Genomic DNA, 18,121 nt, shown 5'->3' with positions numbered 1-18,121 from the left:
TGAATGGAATGGATTACTAAAATATACATAACAGGATGAGGAACGTGGTGGGCTCACACACACTCCAGGAGGAATGTCATTAGCATCTTCACGTAAGAACCTCGGTGTGCGTAAAGCCCAATCTCCTTTGCTGCCTACACCAAGGGTCTAATGTAATAGTTCCTTAGCACCAGGTTTATGGAATCATTTAGGAAAGAAACACAAATATCTCTTAATTCTACACCTGCATGTTAAAGAGTGTATGACCAGAAAAAAACCAACTTAATTCTCAAGGAAAAAGAGAAAGCCTCACTGGGCAAGTGGGGCTTGCAGAAACGAGCTGTGTAGGTGCCTGGGGCAGGCTGCCTGCCCAGCCCGGCTCTGACGAGGCTCTGAGTGCTGCCTCATGCAAAGGCTGGCTGGCGCTGAGGAATGTCTGACCAGAGGTGCAGGCGGGGCTTGCCTCGGGTGGTCACACACAAGACTGTGTCCCTCCATCACTTCGTTTTTTTTTAACTTTTCAAATTTACTTCTGATGAGCACATACCCAGATGGAAAATACGATCAGAAGGATTTTTGCTGCCTGGCAGTTGCCTTGTAAGTCAGACATCTTCCCCTGTTATTTCACATGGGGAGGGCTACACAGCCTGTGGTGGTTTTGTGAACGCAGAGAACGGAGCTAGGGGCTTAAGCCATTGGAGCTGTGGGCCAGGCAGGAGCCCGGCAGGAGTGGGGTGGTCATGGCAGGGCATATTCCAGAAGGGATGGACGCCCCAGCCGCCATGTGCTGGAGCTATGCCCGCTGCCCCTGCTTTAGAGAAGCAGCTCAGTTGAGGATCTCAGCCTATGTTGTATGCCAGGAACTTCCAGTCTCTTGGTGATGGGGGAGGTAACTAGGGGAGCTGGATCCCTCACCAGCAGCTGGTGCCACAGCAGAGAGCTGCTCTCTGCAGGAACCTCGGGATTTGGAACTTCCAAGTGGACGTGACCATGGCTGCTGACGGGGCCAGCGCTTCATTCGGTTGGGCTCAGGGCACCCTGTGAAGAAGGGCCACACAGAACACACAGAATCTGGTGGGTCAACATTTCCAGCCACATATGTGTGTGGCTCTTGCTTCAGTCCTGGCCCTTCTGCTGTGAGGCAGAGGTGGGGAGGAAGAAATACGGTGTCTGAGTGTTTGCAAAGAATTGGTAAACCTGTTTATCTTCAGAATGTGGACGCTGGATGGTACGTTTGAGAAAGTGCATACACGTATCTGTTAGCACAGTTCCCCATATTATTCCCCATGTAATCCCAAAATTCCGCTGAGCAGGGGTTTTCTTGGTGGTAGATGCTGGAGGCAGACATGAGAAGCAGCAGCAATGGCAGGAATGTCCGTACCGTCCTCCCATCTCTGCTCCAGCAACTGTCACCCAAGCTTCTGTCTCTACTCTCCTCCCATCTCTGCTCCAGCAACTGTCACCCAAGCTTCTGTGTCTACTCTCCTCCCATCTCTGCTCCAGCAACTGTCACCCAAGCTTCTGTGTCTACTCTCCTCCCACCTCTGCTCCAGCAACTGCCACCCAAGCTTCTGTGTCTACTCTCCTCCCACCTCTGCTCCAGCAACTGTCACCCAAGCTTCTGTGTCTACTCTCCTCCCATCTCTGCTCCAGCAACTGTCACCCAAGCTTCTGTCTTCTTGGTCAAGAAATGCAGATGCAGATTCTGAGGATCTTTTGAAAAGCACCCAGTATCTTTTTCTGGAATAGCCGAAGAGGACAAATAATTCATTTCTGTTAAGCGCCATCTGCCAGATAACACGGGTGTTTTAGAATACCCTCACAGATAAAACCTCCGTTTTATCGCACACACAGAATAAGCGTGTGAGAGACCACTCCTGTGCCTTATAATTACATCAAGATCTAAGCTTATGCTGTCAATATTTAGAAGAGACAGCAATTTTGACTATTTTATGAATCATAGGACAGTTTATAATCATCCAACACTGATAAGAAGAAGGGACAAAAGTTTTTGAACATGATTATCTCTTCATGTATATGGAGCTTCTAAATCTATTTCCAATTCTGTTTCCTTTCCTTTTATAAAGTACCTCTCCATTATCTTATACACATCAGGTACCAAATACATATTTGTGAGTTTGTTCAATTGATTGTGTAATTGATCGAAATGGTTATAAAGTAATGACCTGCTGTAAACCAATAAATGGATACAAGAAATACTCGTTTTTATTACAGAAAGAGAGTAGGAGCATATCCTGCCACTGAAAGACTTGGAAATGTAACCTGCCCGCATATTTAAGGTGTGGGGCTTTTTCTCCAGAAATTCCATGAATCTGCAGTTGCCTATGTCAACCATGATCTTTCAGCTGCCTTAGCTAATGAATCTTTTTCTTTTTCTTTATCTTCCTTGTACTCATGGTAACATTTGATATGATCCATCATTCCATTCTTTATTTCTTTCCTTCCTGGCTTCCAAAACCAAATAAATAAATAAATAGAGATACAAATATTCCCCATGATGAATCCACTGGGATTTTCAAAGCTTTCCCATGACTTACGTTTAAAAAGCACAGCACGATCCTCTATCTTAATACCTATGTTAGGATGAAATAAATCCAATATAATTAAATATTTTAGAAAGGAGTATTTTTCCTACCTTCATAGATATTTCCTTCCTATATAACTATTTCCTTACTATATTTTGTTGCCACCTTCTATGTCATTGGAAAATATCAGTAGTGATACAGATCTCACCATCCAAGTACCTAAAACCATAGACCAAACTTGCCAGTTAAATTTCTAGCACTCTGCATTTTTGGTGTTTGAAAAAGGGTTCAAAGATTAATTCAGAGTAATCATTCTCATTTAATCTCTTGCTTTAATTTTGGGAACATTAAAATGGCCTAAATAAATTCTGTTTACCCCAACACCACTGCTGACAATATAAATAGCAATGACTAGACACTGGGTGTTGAGTGTTCTGGTAGCTTTGAAGAAGCAAAAAGAATTTACACACTGGGTATTGAGTATTCTGGTAGCTTTGAAGAAGCAAAAAGAATTTAGACACTGGGTATTGAGTGTTCTGGTAGCTTTGAAGAAACAAAAAGAATTTACTGGTTGGGTTTTTGCTTCAGTTTAAAAATATTTTTGATATATAGCATTGGCTTTTGGACATCTTAAGCTTTAGGTAAAGGCAGTTATTCAAATTCAATGTATACACCTGGATAATTTTTACTTTTCTGGAGAATAAAGTTAAATTTTGAAGCGTCACAGGCAATGATTTTTTGGGCCCCTCCGGACCTCTCCCCAGACATGTGTTCAGACGCCATCCAAGGATGACCTCGTGGTGGCTGCCGATCTGGGAAACGCCTGCACTCCACTCACGTTGCAGAATAAACCTTTGTGATAGGATTTGTAGGTTTTCCCCACAATTCTTCCCATTTCAAGTGAGATCAGCGGTTCTTCTTTTCAGAGATTTCTATGGGAGGAAGCCAACCCCACGATATCCTCTCCATTGGCAAAGATCACCATGACTTTCACAAAAGCCTGTACTCAGTAGAGACATGACTGAGGGGACCAGGGGCTCAGGGAGAGGAGGAAAGAGGCCGGAAGCTGGGAATGATGACAGCCAGAGAAGGGGACCTGCGGGTCTCTGAGCAGCTGCAGAACACGGCCCCTGTCCTGATCATGCCCCAGGGAAGGTCTGCAGACTTGAGCGAATCCTGCATGCAGAAGGGGACCTGGGGATCTCATAACAGCCGGAGGGGACCAATGAGGGGACCAATGGCCTATGACCAGGAGGCTTCCCAGATGCCTCCAAACCTCCTGGGAGTCCTGGTTTTGGTATTGCCTTGGGTTTAACCTGAAATGACAGAGGCTGAATTTCACAGTACACCACGCAGGAGGGGTGGGAACTTAGAATGGAAGTTGATTTAAAAAAAAATGTTATTTCTTGCACATGTCGGTTATAGATAATTGAATCATGTCCACATAGAACATCTGATAAGGATGCATGGGTGCCCCTGAGTAAGTATTGTCCTCAGAAAGGAACTCTACAGAAAAAGGCTCAAGTCGATGCCAAGGCTAACAGCCGAGCACAGTGGAGTTTATAACTTAAACGTCAGAGTCCTCTAAGTTAGGACAAACTCTCAATAGAAAAGGAATTAAAGAGCTTATCAACTGTAAATTTTCAAATCACTCACTCATACGTTGAACCAATATTTATTGAGCCTGGTGTGGCACGGTACACGCACGGGTTAATTTAAACTCATCTGGCTTATCGCCACAGGCCTTGGGCATGGCAGTGACATGAAATGTGGAAGAGATGACCGACGTCTGTGACCGTGGGTTTGTGGATTGTCTGGGGGCAGGATGAGGGATTCGTGCCTTTATAAAGGGATCCTAGGGAACTTCCTTACGCTTTTTCCACCATGTGAGGACGCAGGGAAAAGCTGCTGCCTATGAACAAGGAGGCTGCCCACACTGGACACCCTGACCCCAGACTTCCAGCCTCCATAACTGTGAGAGATAAATCTCTGGGGTTCATAAGCCAGGCAGGCTATGACGCTTCCTTATAGCAGCCGGCATGCAATGAGAGAGAGACCCGGCAGGGGACTGGCAGCTCCTGCAGCCTCAAGCGTGGGGAGGGTGGTGTTTCCAGACCATTGCAAGAACTCTTCAGTGATGATAAGCTATCTTGATATTGTTAGCATGAATCTCATAGGAATGTGTTCTGCTGTCTGCATTCATAATGGAAGGAAATTGTAAATTCAAGTTAGTGAAAGTTAGTGAAGATAAAGATGCACTTTTTTTTTTTTTTTTTTTTTTTTTTTTTTTTTTTTTTGAGACAGAGTCTCTCTCTGTCTCCCAGGCTGGAGTGCAGTGGCGCGATCTCGGCTCACTGCAAGCTCTGCCTCCCGGGTTCACTCCATTCTCCTGCCTCAGCCTCCTGAGTAGCTGGGACTACAGGCACCCACCACGACGCCTGGCTAATTTTTTGTGTTTTGTTTAGTAGAGATGGGGTTTCACCGTGTTAGCCAGGATAAAGACACACTTTTTATCCCATCTAACTGTGAGCAGCCCTGAATTCATGAATACCTTACGCTAGGGTTCCCCTGGGGTCATGGACTCTAGCTTGGAGACTTCAGTTCCAGATCCAGCAACCAGCTGGGGGACTGTCTGCACTAGTCTCACTGCAGTGTCCTGCTGGAAATTCACAGAGGACTCTGTCCCTGGAACCATCAGTCCACAGGCCTTCAATGGTGGTGGCCTCCATGCCCCGGCACCGCTGTCAGATGAGCCAAAGCCTGAGCCCTGTGTCTGCTGAAGTCCTGGATCCTCCTCCACTGTCCGCTCACCTCTGCCTCTGCCCTGTGCCCTGGCCTTTCCGACGCTTCTCTGGCCTTTCCATCACTTCTCTGTGGTGACAGACGCTGATTAGAAGAAGGGACAAAAGTTTTCGACGCTGGCTTTCCAAGCCCACCTGGGTTCTCCTTTCCAGAAGGGGATTTTGATCCGTTTGCCCTCTGGCCCCCTTCACTCCTGACACACCAGCCTAACTAGTGACCTGTCCCAGCAGTGCCAGCCTCGACCTGTCAGCAGAGACTGTGCCTCTGACACCTGTTTTCAAACAGCACATTGACACTGAGACAGCGGCCTTTATTTTAATGAACATTCCCCCAACACAGCTACAAGGACTGAAGTTTCTGACCTAGCTTTTTAATTTTCAAATTGTTTTCCAGTGTGAAGAGCTGATGGTGAGAATTCTCTTAGTAAATTCTCTGATCATTTTAAATACAGAACCTGAAAAAATACCCTTTAAGGGTATGATATTAGTTGGGGCTTTTCAGAGAAACAGAATTAATGGAACATGGGTGGGATGGATGGACAGACGATAGAGATATAGATGAACACATATAGAGAGAGATGGTAAGGAAGAGACAGACAATAGAGACACAGGTGAATACATACAGAGAAAGAGGATAAGGAATTGGCTCCTGTCGTCAATGAGGCTGACGAGTTCCGAGATCTGCAGGGAGAGTGGCAAGCTGGAGATCTGGGCGGGCTCATGGTGCAAGTCGCAGTTCAAAGGCAGGAGGAATTCCCTCTCTCTATGGAAGAGTCAGCTGTTTTGTTTCTTCCACTAGATAGGACGTGGCCCACCCACACTGGGGAAAGCATCTGCTTCACCTCGTCCACCCCTCCAAATGCTAACCTCATCCAGAGTCACCCTCTCAGACACACCCACAATAATGTTTAACCAGATATCTGGGCACTCCATGGCCCAGTCAAGTTGCCACATGAACTCCACCATCACACTATCATACAGAGAACTGTGCGGCATTATTCGGCCTCCACCACCAATGGCAAACATCACCTAACCATTCGCAAACTGAACGGGAAAGACAAGGCTGGAATATGACGTGTTGGGAGCAAGACGTCCACTCCCCTTTCATTTCCATGTGATGCTTCACAGGAAAAAGATCTTTTTAAGGTTAACTCTCTGGGATCTAGGAATACCTATCAGGAAGCAATTTTGTTTAAGTCCAAAAATATCCTATTAAATCATGTCAATGACTCTTGAAACCCATGAAGCAAAGGAAGAAAATTTCAAGTTATAAAAGTAGCAAATAAATTACAACCTTTTAAGGTAATACATAGTACCTGTAAGATTATTGTCTGGATAATCAACCAACACAAATGTATCTATAGGACTTCATGATCACATTTTAAATATTTCAAATGTGACTCCATATAGTCCATATTTTGCATCATTACAGGGAAAAAATAAATATACAGATGCTCCTCAACTTGCAATGGGATTATGTCCCCACAAACCCATCATACACTAAAAACATCGTAAGTGGGAAACACGTTTAATACATTTAACCCACCAAACATCGTAACTTAGCCCAGCCTACTCCTAATAAGCTCATAACACTGACACTGGCCTGCAGTTGGCCAACATCGTCTCACTTAATGCCTGTTTTATAATGTGTTGACTATCTCCTCGAATTCATGGAACACTGTACTGAAGGTGAAAAACAGAATGGTTGTGTGGGCACTCAGAGTATGGTTTCTACAGAATGTGGATGATTTTCACGCTATTATAAGGTTAAAAAATTGTAAGTCCAACCATCTTTAAGTCAAAGGTGGTCTGTACTGATGTTGAATGATTCTGTTTCATTCATTCATTCATCTGATTCATTCATTTGATTCATTCATTTGATTCATTCATTAGAGACATGGTCTTGCTGTCACCCAGGCTAGAGTGCTGTGGTGCCATCAGAGCTCTCTCTAACCTTGAATGCCTGGCCTTAAGTGACCCTTCCAAAGTGCTGGCACTACAGGCGTGAGCCACTGTGCCCAGCAAGTAATTTCATTTAAAAGCATCACTCTAGTTTTTTTTCCCTAAGAGAGCAAAAGTATTTTTTTCTCAATGTTTTCAGAATATTTTTAATTTTATGAATCTAAATAATTTGTTTTTAATGTAATGCTTTTTAGACGAACATCCTGTTAGAGTAAAAGCCATGGTGTCAATACATTTTAAATATATTCCTGAGACAATGTAATGGCATACAAATAATAAACATAATTCTCTGCCATGGCCTAGATATTTTGGCATCTAATGTTTTTATGTCTTTAAAAGATAAGTACATTTTAAATGTACATCGAGATTCTGTTTGTTTCAGTAAATGTGCTATGTGGCTGGAGCTCCTGGTCAGGGAGTGGGAAGGAGCAGAAGCCGTGCTTCGTGCAGACGCTGATCAGATCAGGAGCGCGTCTCTGCCGCTTCCTTGAAGAAATGATTCCTGAGCTGGGGCTTAAAGCACAGCTAGGACTCAGGCAGAAACTCAAGGAAGAAACTGCGGGCCGACGAGCAGCAGCCGTAGAGGCATGGAGGTGCGAGAATTTCAGGAAGACTGGCTGGGAGCGGGTGGGAGCGAGAGGGCAGCTGGGCCGTCTGGTGGGGCCGGGTCACTGGGGTTTGCAACCCCACAGAGGACGGCAGTCTTCACTCCTCTGGCTCTTGCACAGAGCCGAGACGAGGCTCTTGGTCGGGCGGGCTTAGGGTCAGGCTGCCTTTTTAGCAAGAATGTCCTGCAGGCAGGATGGAGAGTGGGTGGGAAGTCCTGCCAGGCCCCTGGAGGCTGAGGAGGCACCCAGGTGAGCACTTAAAATGGTTTCAGCCCCGAGGGGTGACACAGGTGAGGGCCGGCGGGGTCGAGGGTGACACAGGTGAGGACCGGCGGGGTCGAGGGTGACACAGGTGAGGACCGGCGGGTTCGAGGGTGACACAGGTGAGGGCCGGCGGGGTCGAGGGTGACACAGGTGAGGACCGGCGGGGTCGAGGGTGACACAGGTGAGGGCCGGCGGGGTCGAGGGTGACACAGGTGAGGGCCGGCGGGGTCGAGGGTGACACAGGTGAGGACCGGCGGGTTGGAGGGTGACACAGGTGAGGGCCGGCGGGGTCGAGGGTGACACAGGTGAGGGCCGGCGGGGTCGAGGGTGACACAGGTGAGGGCCGGCGGGGTCGAGGGTGACACAGGTGAGGACCGGCGGGTTGGAGGGTGACACAGGTGAGGGCCGGCGGGGTCGAGGGTGACACAGGTGAGGGCCGGCGGGGTCGAGGGTGACACAGGTGAGGACCGGCGGGTTGGAGGGTGACACAGGTGAGGACCGGCGGGGTCGAGGGTGACACAGGTGAGGGCCGGCGGGGTCGAGGGTGACACAGGTGAGGACCGGCGGGTTGGAGGGTGACACAGGTGAGGGCCGGCGGGGTCGAGGGTGACACAGGTGAGGACCGGCGGGTTCGAGGGTGACACAGGTGAGGACCGGCGGGTTCGAGGGTGACACAGGTGAGGACCGGCGGGTTCCAGGGTGACACAGGTGAGGGCCGGCGGGTTCCAGGGTGACACAGGTGAGGGCCGGCGGGGTCGAGGGTGACACAGGTGAGGGCCGGCGGGTTCCAGGGTGACACAGGTGAGGGCCGGCGGGTTCCAGGGTGACACAGGTGAGGGCCGGCGGGGTCGAGGGTGACACAGGTGAGGACCGGCGGGGTCGAGGGTGACACAGGTGAGGGCTGGCGGGTTCCAGGGTGACACAGGTGAGGGCCGGCGGGTTCCAGGGTGACACAGGTGAGGGCCGGCGGGGTCGAGGGTGACACAGGTGAGGGCCGGCGGGGTCGAGGGTGACACAGGTGAGGGCCGGCGGGTTGGAGGGTGACACAGGTGAGGGCCGGCGGGGTCGAGGGTGACACAGGTGAGGGCCGGCGGGGTCGAGGGTGACACAGGTGAGGACCGGCGGGTTCGAGGGTGACACAGGTGAGGGCCGGCGGGGTCGAGGGTGACACAGGTGAGGACCGGCGGGGTCGAGGGTGACACAGGTGAGGACCGGGGGGGTCGAGGGTGACACAGGTGAGGACCGGGGGGGTCGAGGGTGACACAGGTGAGGACCGGCGGGGTCGAGGGTGACACAGGTGAGGACCGGCGGGTTCGAGGGTGACACAGGTGAGGGCCGGCGGGGTCGAGGGTGACACAGGTGAGGGCTGGCGGGTTCGAGGGGTGACACAGGTGAGGGCCGGCGGGTTCGAGGGTGACACAGGTGAGGGCCGGCGGGTTCGAGGGTGACACAGGTGAGGGCCGGCGGGGTCGAGGGTGACACAGGTGAGGACCGGCGGGGTCGAGGGTGACACAGGTGAGGGCCGGCGGGGTCGAGGGTGACACAGGTGAGGACCGGGGGGGTCGAGGGTGACACAGGTGAGGACCGGCGGGGTCGAGGGTGACACAGGTGAGGGCCGGCGGGGTCGAGGGTGACACAGGTGAGGGCTGGCGGGTTCGAGGGTGACACAGGTGAGGACCGGGGGGGTCGAGGGTGACACAGGTGAGGACCGGGGGGGTCGAGGGTGACACAGGTGAGGACCGGCGGGGTCGAGGGTGACACAGGTGAGGGCCGGCGGGGTCGAGGGTGACACAGGTGAGGACCGGCGGGGTCGAGGGTGACACAGGTGAGGGCCGGCGGGGTCGAGGGTGACACAGGTGAGGGCCGGCGGGTTGGAGGGTGACACAGGTGAGGGCCGGCGGGGTCGAGGGTGACACAGGTGAGGGCCGGCGGGGTCGAGGGTGACACAGGTGAGGACCGGCGGGTTGGAGGGTGACACAGGTGGGGACCGGCGGGGTCGAGGGTGACACAGGTGAGGACCGGCAGGGTCGAGGGTGACACAGGTGAGGGCCGGCGGGTTCGAGGGTGACACAGGTGAGGGCCGGCGGGGTCGAGGGTGACACAGGTGGGGGCCGGCAGGGTCGAGGGTGACACAGGTGAGGACCAGCGGGGTCGAGGGTGACACAGGTGGGGACCGGCGGGGTCGAGGGTGACACAGGTGAGGACCGGCGGGGTCGAGGGTGACACAGGTGAGGGCCGGCGGGGTCGAGGGTGACACAGGTGAGGACCGGCGGGTTCGAGGGGTATGGGAGGCAGATTCAACAGTACTTCCATCTCCACAATATCTGAAAACCTGAAATGACTAATTTATTCACCTACTGACTTATGCAAGCATCAATTATTTATTTCAGCCATTACTTTTCTGGGTGATAAGATGTTAAATGACCAATTAGGAATCCTTTCTTACAGTAACTGTTACTCTTAGGACAACAATGTGGAAGTCCTCACTGGACTTCTGACTCCATCCCCATACACATGTCCCTCCAAATGTACCCCTACTTCAGGGAAGAGACAGAGCCATAGGACAGACGCAGATCGTTGTCAACTGCAAGAGCCCTGGACTATGAGTCAGGAACCCGTGGCTCTAGTTTCATTCGTATTATGATTAATTCGTCTAGACAAGTTCACTTGTTCAATGACAGCTTCATCTTGAAATCTCATTACCTGGGAGATCATCCCAGCATTCATGTTGTAATTCCAGTCTAAGTACGCAGACAGGAGGATTTTATAAGAGAAGGACACAAATTACTTGAAAACGGTGGTTTTGAAGGGAAGAGCAGGCTACACACTTGGGGAAAATCTTTATGAACACATTTGTTCTCACCCGAGCAATTCTGGCTTACATATGCAGTTCCTGATACAGATGCACGATTTATCTGCATCACGCTCGCCTTCTGCAAACCGGGAGGCACGTGATTCGTCTGTCATGTCTGTTCTAGACAGAGGTGTCAAGTATTTAACCTTTGGAAACCCTTACTGGGAGCTGGTTCCACTCCTTCTCTACAGCACAGACCAGGGGCTCCTGTCCTAACTCCGACACCCGACCCTTACCCGTGTCTCCCAGGGCTTCTCCTTCCCCACAGCCAGGAGAGCTTGGGTCTCCCTCCTCTCCGCAGAGACTGTGCTCTGCCACGGCTTCTCCCTACCGGTCCCCAGGGCCAACCGGCTTTCATCCACTCATCCTATAGGCTTAGCGCACAACGGATAAAGTACATAAGGCTTTGGCTGTAGTTCAAATAAATCAAAGACAATGAAAATCACAAAGATTAGTTTTCATCTTTTAGGTATCTGGACTGCATTTCGTCATTTACTGTAAAACACAAGTCTAGATGCGGGGGGGCGGGCCACGTGAGACTTCCACCTGTGCCTGTTTTTAGCGTTTGACGGTCTTGGTGCTGTGCTCAGGCCCGTAATGGGGTCTCATGCCCGAGTCCCGGGTACAAGCCTCTGAACCCGGGACACAGGGATGGCGTCTTCATGATGCACACCCTGGGCTTTAGTTTGCAACATGGAGCTTTGCTGAAGGATTCTTGGGGCTTCATGGAAGCCATGGTGGTTGGCAGTTTCTGAGACGTTCTAATGGGGATCATGACAATCAGAGACATCCTGAGCGGCTGGGAAGACGTTCAGATTCCCTGGGACATCTCGGACCGACTCCCGCACGATATCGTTGTTGCCAGGTTTCTGGCATTTGGACTACGCTGTGCTGCGGGGTTGGAGACGTGATGTCAGCAGCAGGTCTGACACTGAGGACCCATGGGACAGCACGCCTGGGCTTCCCTTCAGCAGCAGGTCTGACACTGAGGACCCACGGGGCAGCACACCTGGGCTTCCCAGGGTGAACTCTGAGCCTGCACACAGCGTCCATCAGCCCGAGCCAGATTTGGCTCCTCTTCATCAGGATCAACCTGGATTTACGACAAGGATTTGTGTAATACTCCTAGAAGAGAAATGGGTTCCCCTTGGGTCAGTGCCTGAAGGATGTCACCATTTATACTGGGCTCGGTTTCAGAGAAGACCTCATTCATTCATGCACTCTACCAGTATTTACCAAAACCTACTATGGTAAACAGAATAACGCCCCTCCAAAAATGTCCGCATCCTAGTCCCCAGAACCTGTGACCATGGTACTTTATGTGGCAAAAGGGACTTTGCAGATGTGAGTAAATTCAGGATTTTGAGATGGGGAGATGATCCTGGATCATCCCAGTGGGCCCAGTGTTATCCCCAGGGTCCTTACATGAGGAAGGGAGGGGGTCAGAGTCAGACGAGGAGGCTTGGACAATGGAGGCCCAGGCTGGAGCCATGTGGCCCGCAGCCAAGGACGGCAGAGAACTCCAGAAGCTTGAGGAGGCAAGGAGCGGGCTCCCCGGAAGCCTCCAGAACGACCTGATGTTTGACGCTAGCCCCACAGAACCTACTTTAGACTTCTAACCTCTGTGACTGTGAGACGGCACATCTGTGCTGCTGGAGACCATAGGGCTTGTGACCATTTTTACAGCTGCAAATATGAGACAAACACACCTGCTTTGTAGGGGTTCCTCAGTCCAGGCCCGTCTCTGGGAGGACCCACAGGGGTCTCCGCTGTGCTGAATTTGTGCAGGGCTTATGGACACCAGGAACCTGGGCTTACCCTGGGTCGGGGGTGGCACAGGACCCCTGCTGCTCCGCATAGAGGGGCTGCACAATTCAGGCCTCGCAGCAGCCTTCCAGGACTCTGCCCACACTGCCAAGACCCAGGGACAGCCTCTGTTCCCACTGTGGTGAACTGGGGCAGTGTTGAACTCCCCTCCGTGGCCCCTCCCCATCCCTCCTGGCTCCCACCTTTCCACTGCTCCTTCTGGAGGCCCCTTCTCCCCACGATGCTGACGCTGTGGGCTCTGGTCTCAGGCCTCTTCTCTTTCTATACCCTCCTGTTCGGGGGTGGCTCCATGGCTCTGGACCGCACCTCCAGCCTCGACCTCCACACCTCTTCTTGAAGTTGGGTTAGCAAGTCATGGGACCCTCAGCTCAACACATCTGAACTACTCGGCACCTGTGGGCTGGGCCCTGTTGGCTTCGGCTGCTGAGAGGCAGCAGCTGGAGAGGGCTGTTGGGCACTTCATCCCAATCCATCCCGGCTCCCCGGTTGTACTGGCCATCCCTTCTTTTACCTGCACTCCATGACCCAGCTCTCTGGGCTGCAACAGCATCACCTCCATCCTGTTGCTTCAGCAGGAGGAGACAACGGCACAGCCCCATCGCTGGGATCTGCATGCATCCGCTGCCTTCTCTGCGTCTGTCCCTAAATGGAGCCATCATTACGGCCTCTCCTCCTGGACTCCCCGGGAGACCCAGCTTCCTGGATGAAGTCCTGGAGACTCCCTGCCTGCATGCTGGCTTTCTGGGCCTCATCCACGGCTGGGGCAGGAGGCCTCTTAAAAGCCTCTTCACGGCTCCCCAGAGCTCAGCCGGGAGCCCCTGGAGCTCCCTCTGAAAGCCATTCCTGCACCTGTGCCTGGCACAGCCCGGCCTCATCCCTTCTCACCTGTGCTATTTGAGGAGCTGTCTTCTCCGTGCTCTTCTGCAGTACGGCCGGGCCGCGGGTCTTCATTATAACATGACTCTGGCCCCCGTGTTAGTCCTCCCGTGCTGCCGTAACAGAGCAACATTGATTCATGTCATGGAGGCTGTGAGTCCCAGACCAAGGCGCTGGGAAAACTGAGGCCTCTCCTGGGTGTGCACATGCCGTCTTCTCCCCGGGTCCTCACAAGCTGGTCCCTTCCTGCATGTCTGTGTCCTCATCTCCTCTTCTTATAAGGACACCGGACAGATTGGATTTGGGCCCCCTGTGACCTCATTCTACCTGGTCACCTCTTCGAAGGGTCTGTCTGAAACGCAGTCACATTCTCAGGTCCTGGGATTAGGGTTCAGCACCAAGTCCGGGGAACACAACTCAGCCACAGATCCCTCTCCTGCTTAGAGTCCTCCAGTGACCTCCGAATTCTGCAGGTGCAAGTACTACAGGTGCAGCATGGATGTCCCTCTCAGCTCATGTCCCCCATCCGTCCTGCCTTCCAGCCTCTCCCTCCAGGCCGGGTGCCCTGCGAATCCCAGAGCTGAGGTGCCCAGCGGTTTTCGGGACGTTTGTCATTACTTCAGGCTGGCACCTCCCTCTCCCTGGGTTTCTGCTGCCCAGCCCTGAAGCCTCTCAACTCTTCCTGCAGGCGGAAGGCCTCCCGGACGCTGCTGCAGTGCTGGCTTTCCCCTGGGTTTCCAGAGCCATCCACACACATCTCACAGCACCCAGCAGGTGTGCCATGGCTGACGAGCTCTTCAACTGCAACTGTTTCCAGACTTTAGGCCTTCGGGGCCAATGCTCAGGACTTCAGTGCTTCTGGATTCAGAGCACTTAGCGCAGCGGCCGGCACACAGCAAACACTTAATAAATGCTTACGACATAAATGTAATTTGATCTTTTCTTTAGAATCTTCAATTGGCATATAAGATGATTGTTCTTTATTCTAGTTCATTTTTTACATTTCTAAAACGGAAAGTGATCATGTGTGACTTTTTTCATTCATTTCCTCTGGTCATTTGTTTACTGAAACGCAGCTTTTTGTTGCCTTTGTGGGGTGTGCAGGCTGGTCCTCGCAGTGCATAGCTGTTGACTTATGGAAAGCTATGACCTGAGGCTATGCATCTGAGAGCCCCGCGCAACAGTTTCTGAGCCTATTTGTAAAGCCCTTGTGTCAGAGTGACAGATCCAAGGAGAAGACGTGTTTGGAGGAATCTTCTGGTTTTCAGATTTTGTGGCTCACAGAACCTCCAGCTGCTCATTTTTCCAGTAAAGAGCTAAATGTCCTTCCCAAAGCCTTTCCCCATATAGCGTGTTTTATTTTAACTCCGCAGGGAAGCTGGCTGCAGGGCCTCCTTGCCAGCCCTCTGGGAAAGGAGGATAGGAGGGTGAAGGGCCCGGTCAGAGGTATGTGGACCTGGAAAGGCTGCACACTGCACACCTGGTCCCCGAGCAAGCACGTCTGCAGAGACATCCTGCCTGCGGAGCCAGCCGGCGGCCAGACGGGTATTCCTCCTCTGGGGTGCACCTCCTCCCTCCAACCTGGGGTGCTGCGCACTCGGCAGCCATCGGCCGGGTTTACCAAGTGGTGCCTGTGTGTCCCAACACACCTGAATATGCCCTGCGGTATTTTGTGATTTCAAATCACCTTTACTCTATTGGCCAAAACGTTTTATGATCAGCCCAGCTGACATCCATTTTCAGTTTCTTTTCCTTTAAATTCTCTACTTTTTCAAATTCAAGTTTTAAAATATGTTCTCACCATCTTGTCAGGCAAACTTGCATATCAGTTACACAGTAACTCGACGGTACCAGGTCCTGGTATCAGAAGAAGGTTGAGGCAACAAGTTTAGTCCACGATGAAAATTTCCCCAGGCTCACACGCCTGAAAATCCACTCTTTGTGACAAGATAAAATTAAGTAAAACACTGTCTTTTATTGTAAAAGACTAAAAATGGGAGAATCAAATACATAGTCATATTTATTCAAACTGAGGAAGGTCAGCAAAGAAGTAAAATTTTAAAAAAGCAACAAAAATCATAGTATTGAAAAACAGTTATTCTACCTCTTATATTCAAGGTACTGAAATATAGAGATAATTTTTCTCCTCTATGTTGGCAAGTATGTATCTTGGAAATGGAATTACTATGTACCCTTGAGAGACAAGTTGCTATAGAAATATAAATAATAAAATAAGTCTGTGGCTGTTTCCTCTGCCATGCTTTCTATAGGTTTTCCCTTTGTTTTAATGACTTCTAGAATCAGTTGTATCATATGTTGAGAAAATTTCCGGCCCAGAGAAAAATCATTATAATCTAATTTTACACCATTTTCCTTCACAATATCAATAATATTCCCTCCCTAGAAAAATCGGGTGAGATGCATATTTGGACAAGTAAAGCAATCCGATAAATAATTTCCCAGATGAGAAAGAAACCATGTGTGAAATGAGTTAGATGTTTTCAAAACCACTTCATTTAAGGGGAGGACACTAATCAATATGCAGTGTTTTTCATAATGAGAGAAACGGTGGGACGAAGGAACGTTTATATGCGTGGCTCACACCGCCTCACAGGGTATTCTGTTCTTACTGGAGTTCCCTGGTGATTAGATTAAAAGGGTCTGTCTCAGCTCGATCACCAGCTGCCTTTAAAGGTTGAGTGAAAAAGCAGGTGAACTGGGGTGTCCCCAAACCAACAGACGTCCTCTGGGAACCTCAACCTGTCCATGTTTAAAACAGATGGTCTAAGATGTATTTTTAAGTTCTCAATACATCTTTCATGCATATATTCAATATTTATTATTATATGAATATTATACATTTGTAGTTATACAAGGTGAAATAATCTAATAATAACATCAACTTTTACCTTTTGAGCCTGCATAAAGTAATGTGTTTAAATAAATCTCGTTCTTCAAGGTACTCACTTTGGAATGTTTTCAAAAATAACTCTTTGGAATTATTTTCATGAGCTAGTTTTAGACAGAAAATCATAAAAGAAAATCAATCTGTCAAAATAACCTCTCTCCCCATACACCACACACGCACACATACACACATGTATACATGGATCAGTAAATGACAGCTATTGAACGTAGTGCTAGGATATCAATTTCCAAGTATTTAAATACAAAAGTCAGAAGTATTTAAGTAGAAAATTTTTGAAATCCGCCTGACTCACGGACAGGAAACTTTGGATGAAATTTGAAGTTCAGCTATCACAATTATCGAGGCACCTACATCCCGTACATGTTGATAGTTTTCCTCCATAATTTTGTTTTCCCAGACTGGGAGTTTTCATTTCTTTGGTATTTTTCCATAATCTTGCTAAATAGACTATATTGCATGTCATCTAAATTTTATTTAGTAAATAAAGATTTAAATAACTAATATACAATACTTAGAGTAAAATGGGAAACAGCAGAGGTTAATGATTAATCTGTACTTTTATTTCTTCACAAGGGTAACTTGTAATCCTACAGTGCTAAGTATTTCCCCTAGTGCTTTTCATTTCTTTTCTCATTTGATTCTCAGATGTCACATAACTTGGACAGTCCCCTGCATCACCTAGAGGAAATTCTGACTCAAAACTGGGCCAAGATCCGGTAGAAACTCTGAATGGAATCTTTTTTTTGTAATTTATTTGGTAGGTGTATTTTTGGAATACAAAATATACATGGTAAACATTGTATATATATAAATTAAAATTTTAGTCTGAGCTCAGAACTGGTTCTTATCTCTGTGAAATCTGTTTTATTTTTATTCTCTCTATAATGACAGTCCTAAAAACAATAAAGTCCTTTTCTACGAGGTAATGATTGTTTCAAAGCATTTCTGAAGACTATGAAAGTTCTTAATTGTTTACTTGCTCCTAAGAGACAGTAAACAAATACTGCTGAAAGTATGAGTAATGATCTCTTGGACCGCTGTTTTTCAATGCAATCATTGTAAATCTCATTACTTCCCTGATTCTAATTTGTTCAATGTTCACATCAGGACAGAGCATGAGAACTGGCCCAGGACTTCACCAAGGGGCAGGAGTGAGCAGAACCGGCCAAACCAGAGGAAAACAGGAGGCTACGCAGGGTGCCCACAGCTGCCCGGTGGCTGCACCTGGGGGATGTGTTGTCAGCCTGTGGATTTCCCTTGGGTGGGTCCTGGGCACCACCCTCCCTCGTACAGAAAGCCCTGCTGGGAGCCAGAGAGCCAGGATCTGTTGCCTTTCTCCCGAAGCCCCCGGCTCAGTGGTGCCAGCATTGAAGAAATATCTACCACATAAAAAGCACACCGAGGATCCACAGCTTTCTTTGAAAAATAATCTTTAAATTTATGCAAATAAATTATCTATGGCTACAGCTTCTCTT

At 49.5% G+C, this 18,121-nt stretch overlaps 1 protein-coding gene across 1 annotated transcript in view, besides 1 other annotated feature; it reads right to left on the bottom strand.

Annotated features, from left to right (window-relative positions):
- The window catches only part of DLGAP2 (DLG associated protein 2), a 970,849-nt gene that overhangs the window by 56,166 nt on the left and 896,562 nt on the right, over positions 1 to 18,121 (bottom strand). The window lies entirely within an intron of this gene.
- Positions 15,044 to 15,277: a silencer, noted in NCBI's record as "fragment chr8:1585200-1585433 (GRCh37/hg19 assembly coordinates)". NCBI's record gives its function as "represses an EF-1alpha promoter that drives an FKBP-Casp9 reporter gene in an ReSE screen in K562 erythroleukemia cells {active_cell/tissue: K562}" and the evidence as "EXISTENCE:reporter gene assay evidence [ECO:0000049][PMID:32094911]".

The sequence above is a fragment of the Homo sapiens genome, chromosome 8 (genome assembly GCF_000001405.40).
Source record: "Homo sapiens chromosome 8, GRCh38.p14 Primary Assembly".
Classification (NCBI taxonomy): domain Eukaryota; kingdom Metazoa; phylum Chordata; class Mammalia; order Primates; family Hominidae; genus Homo; species Homo sapiens.
This window is presented reverse-complemented; position numbering and strand designations above follow the sequence as displayed.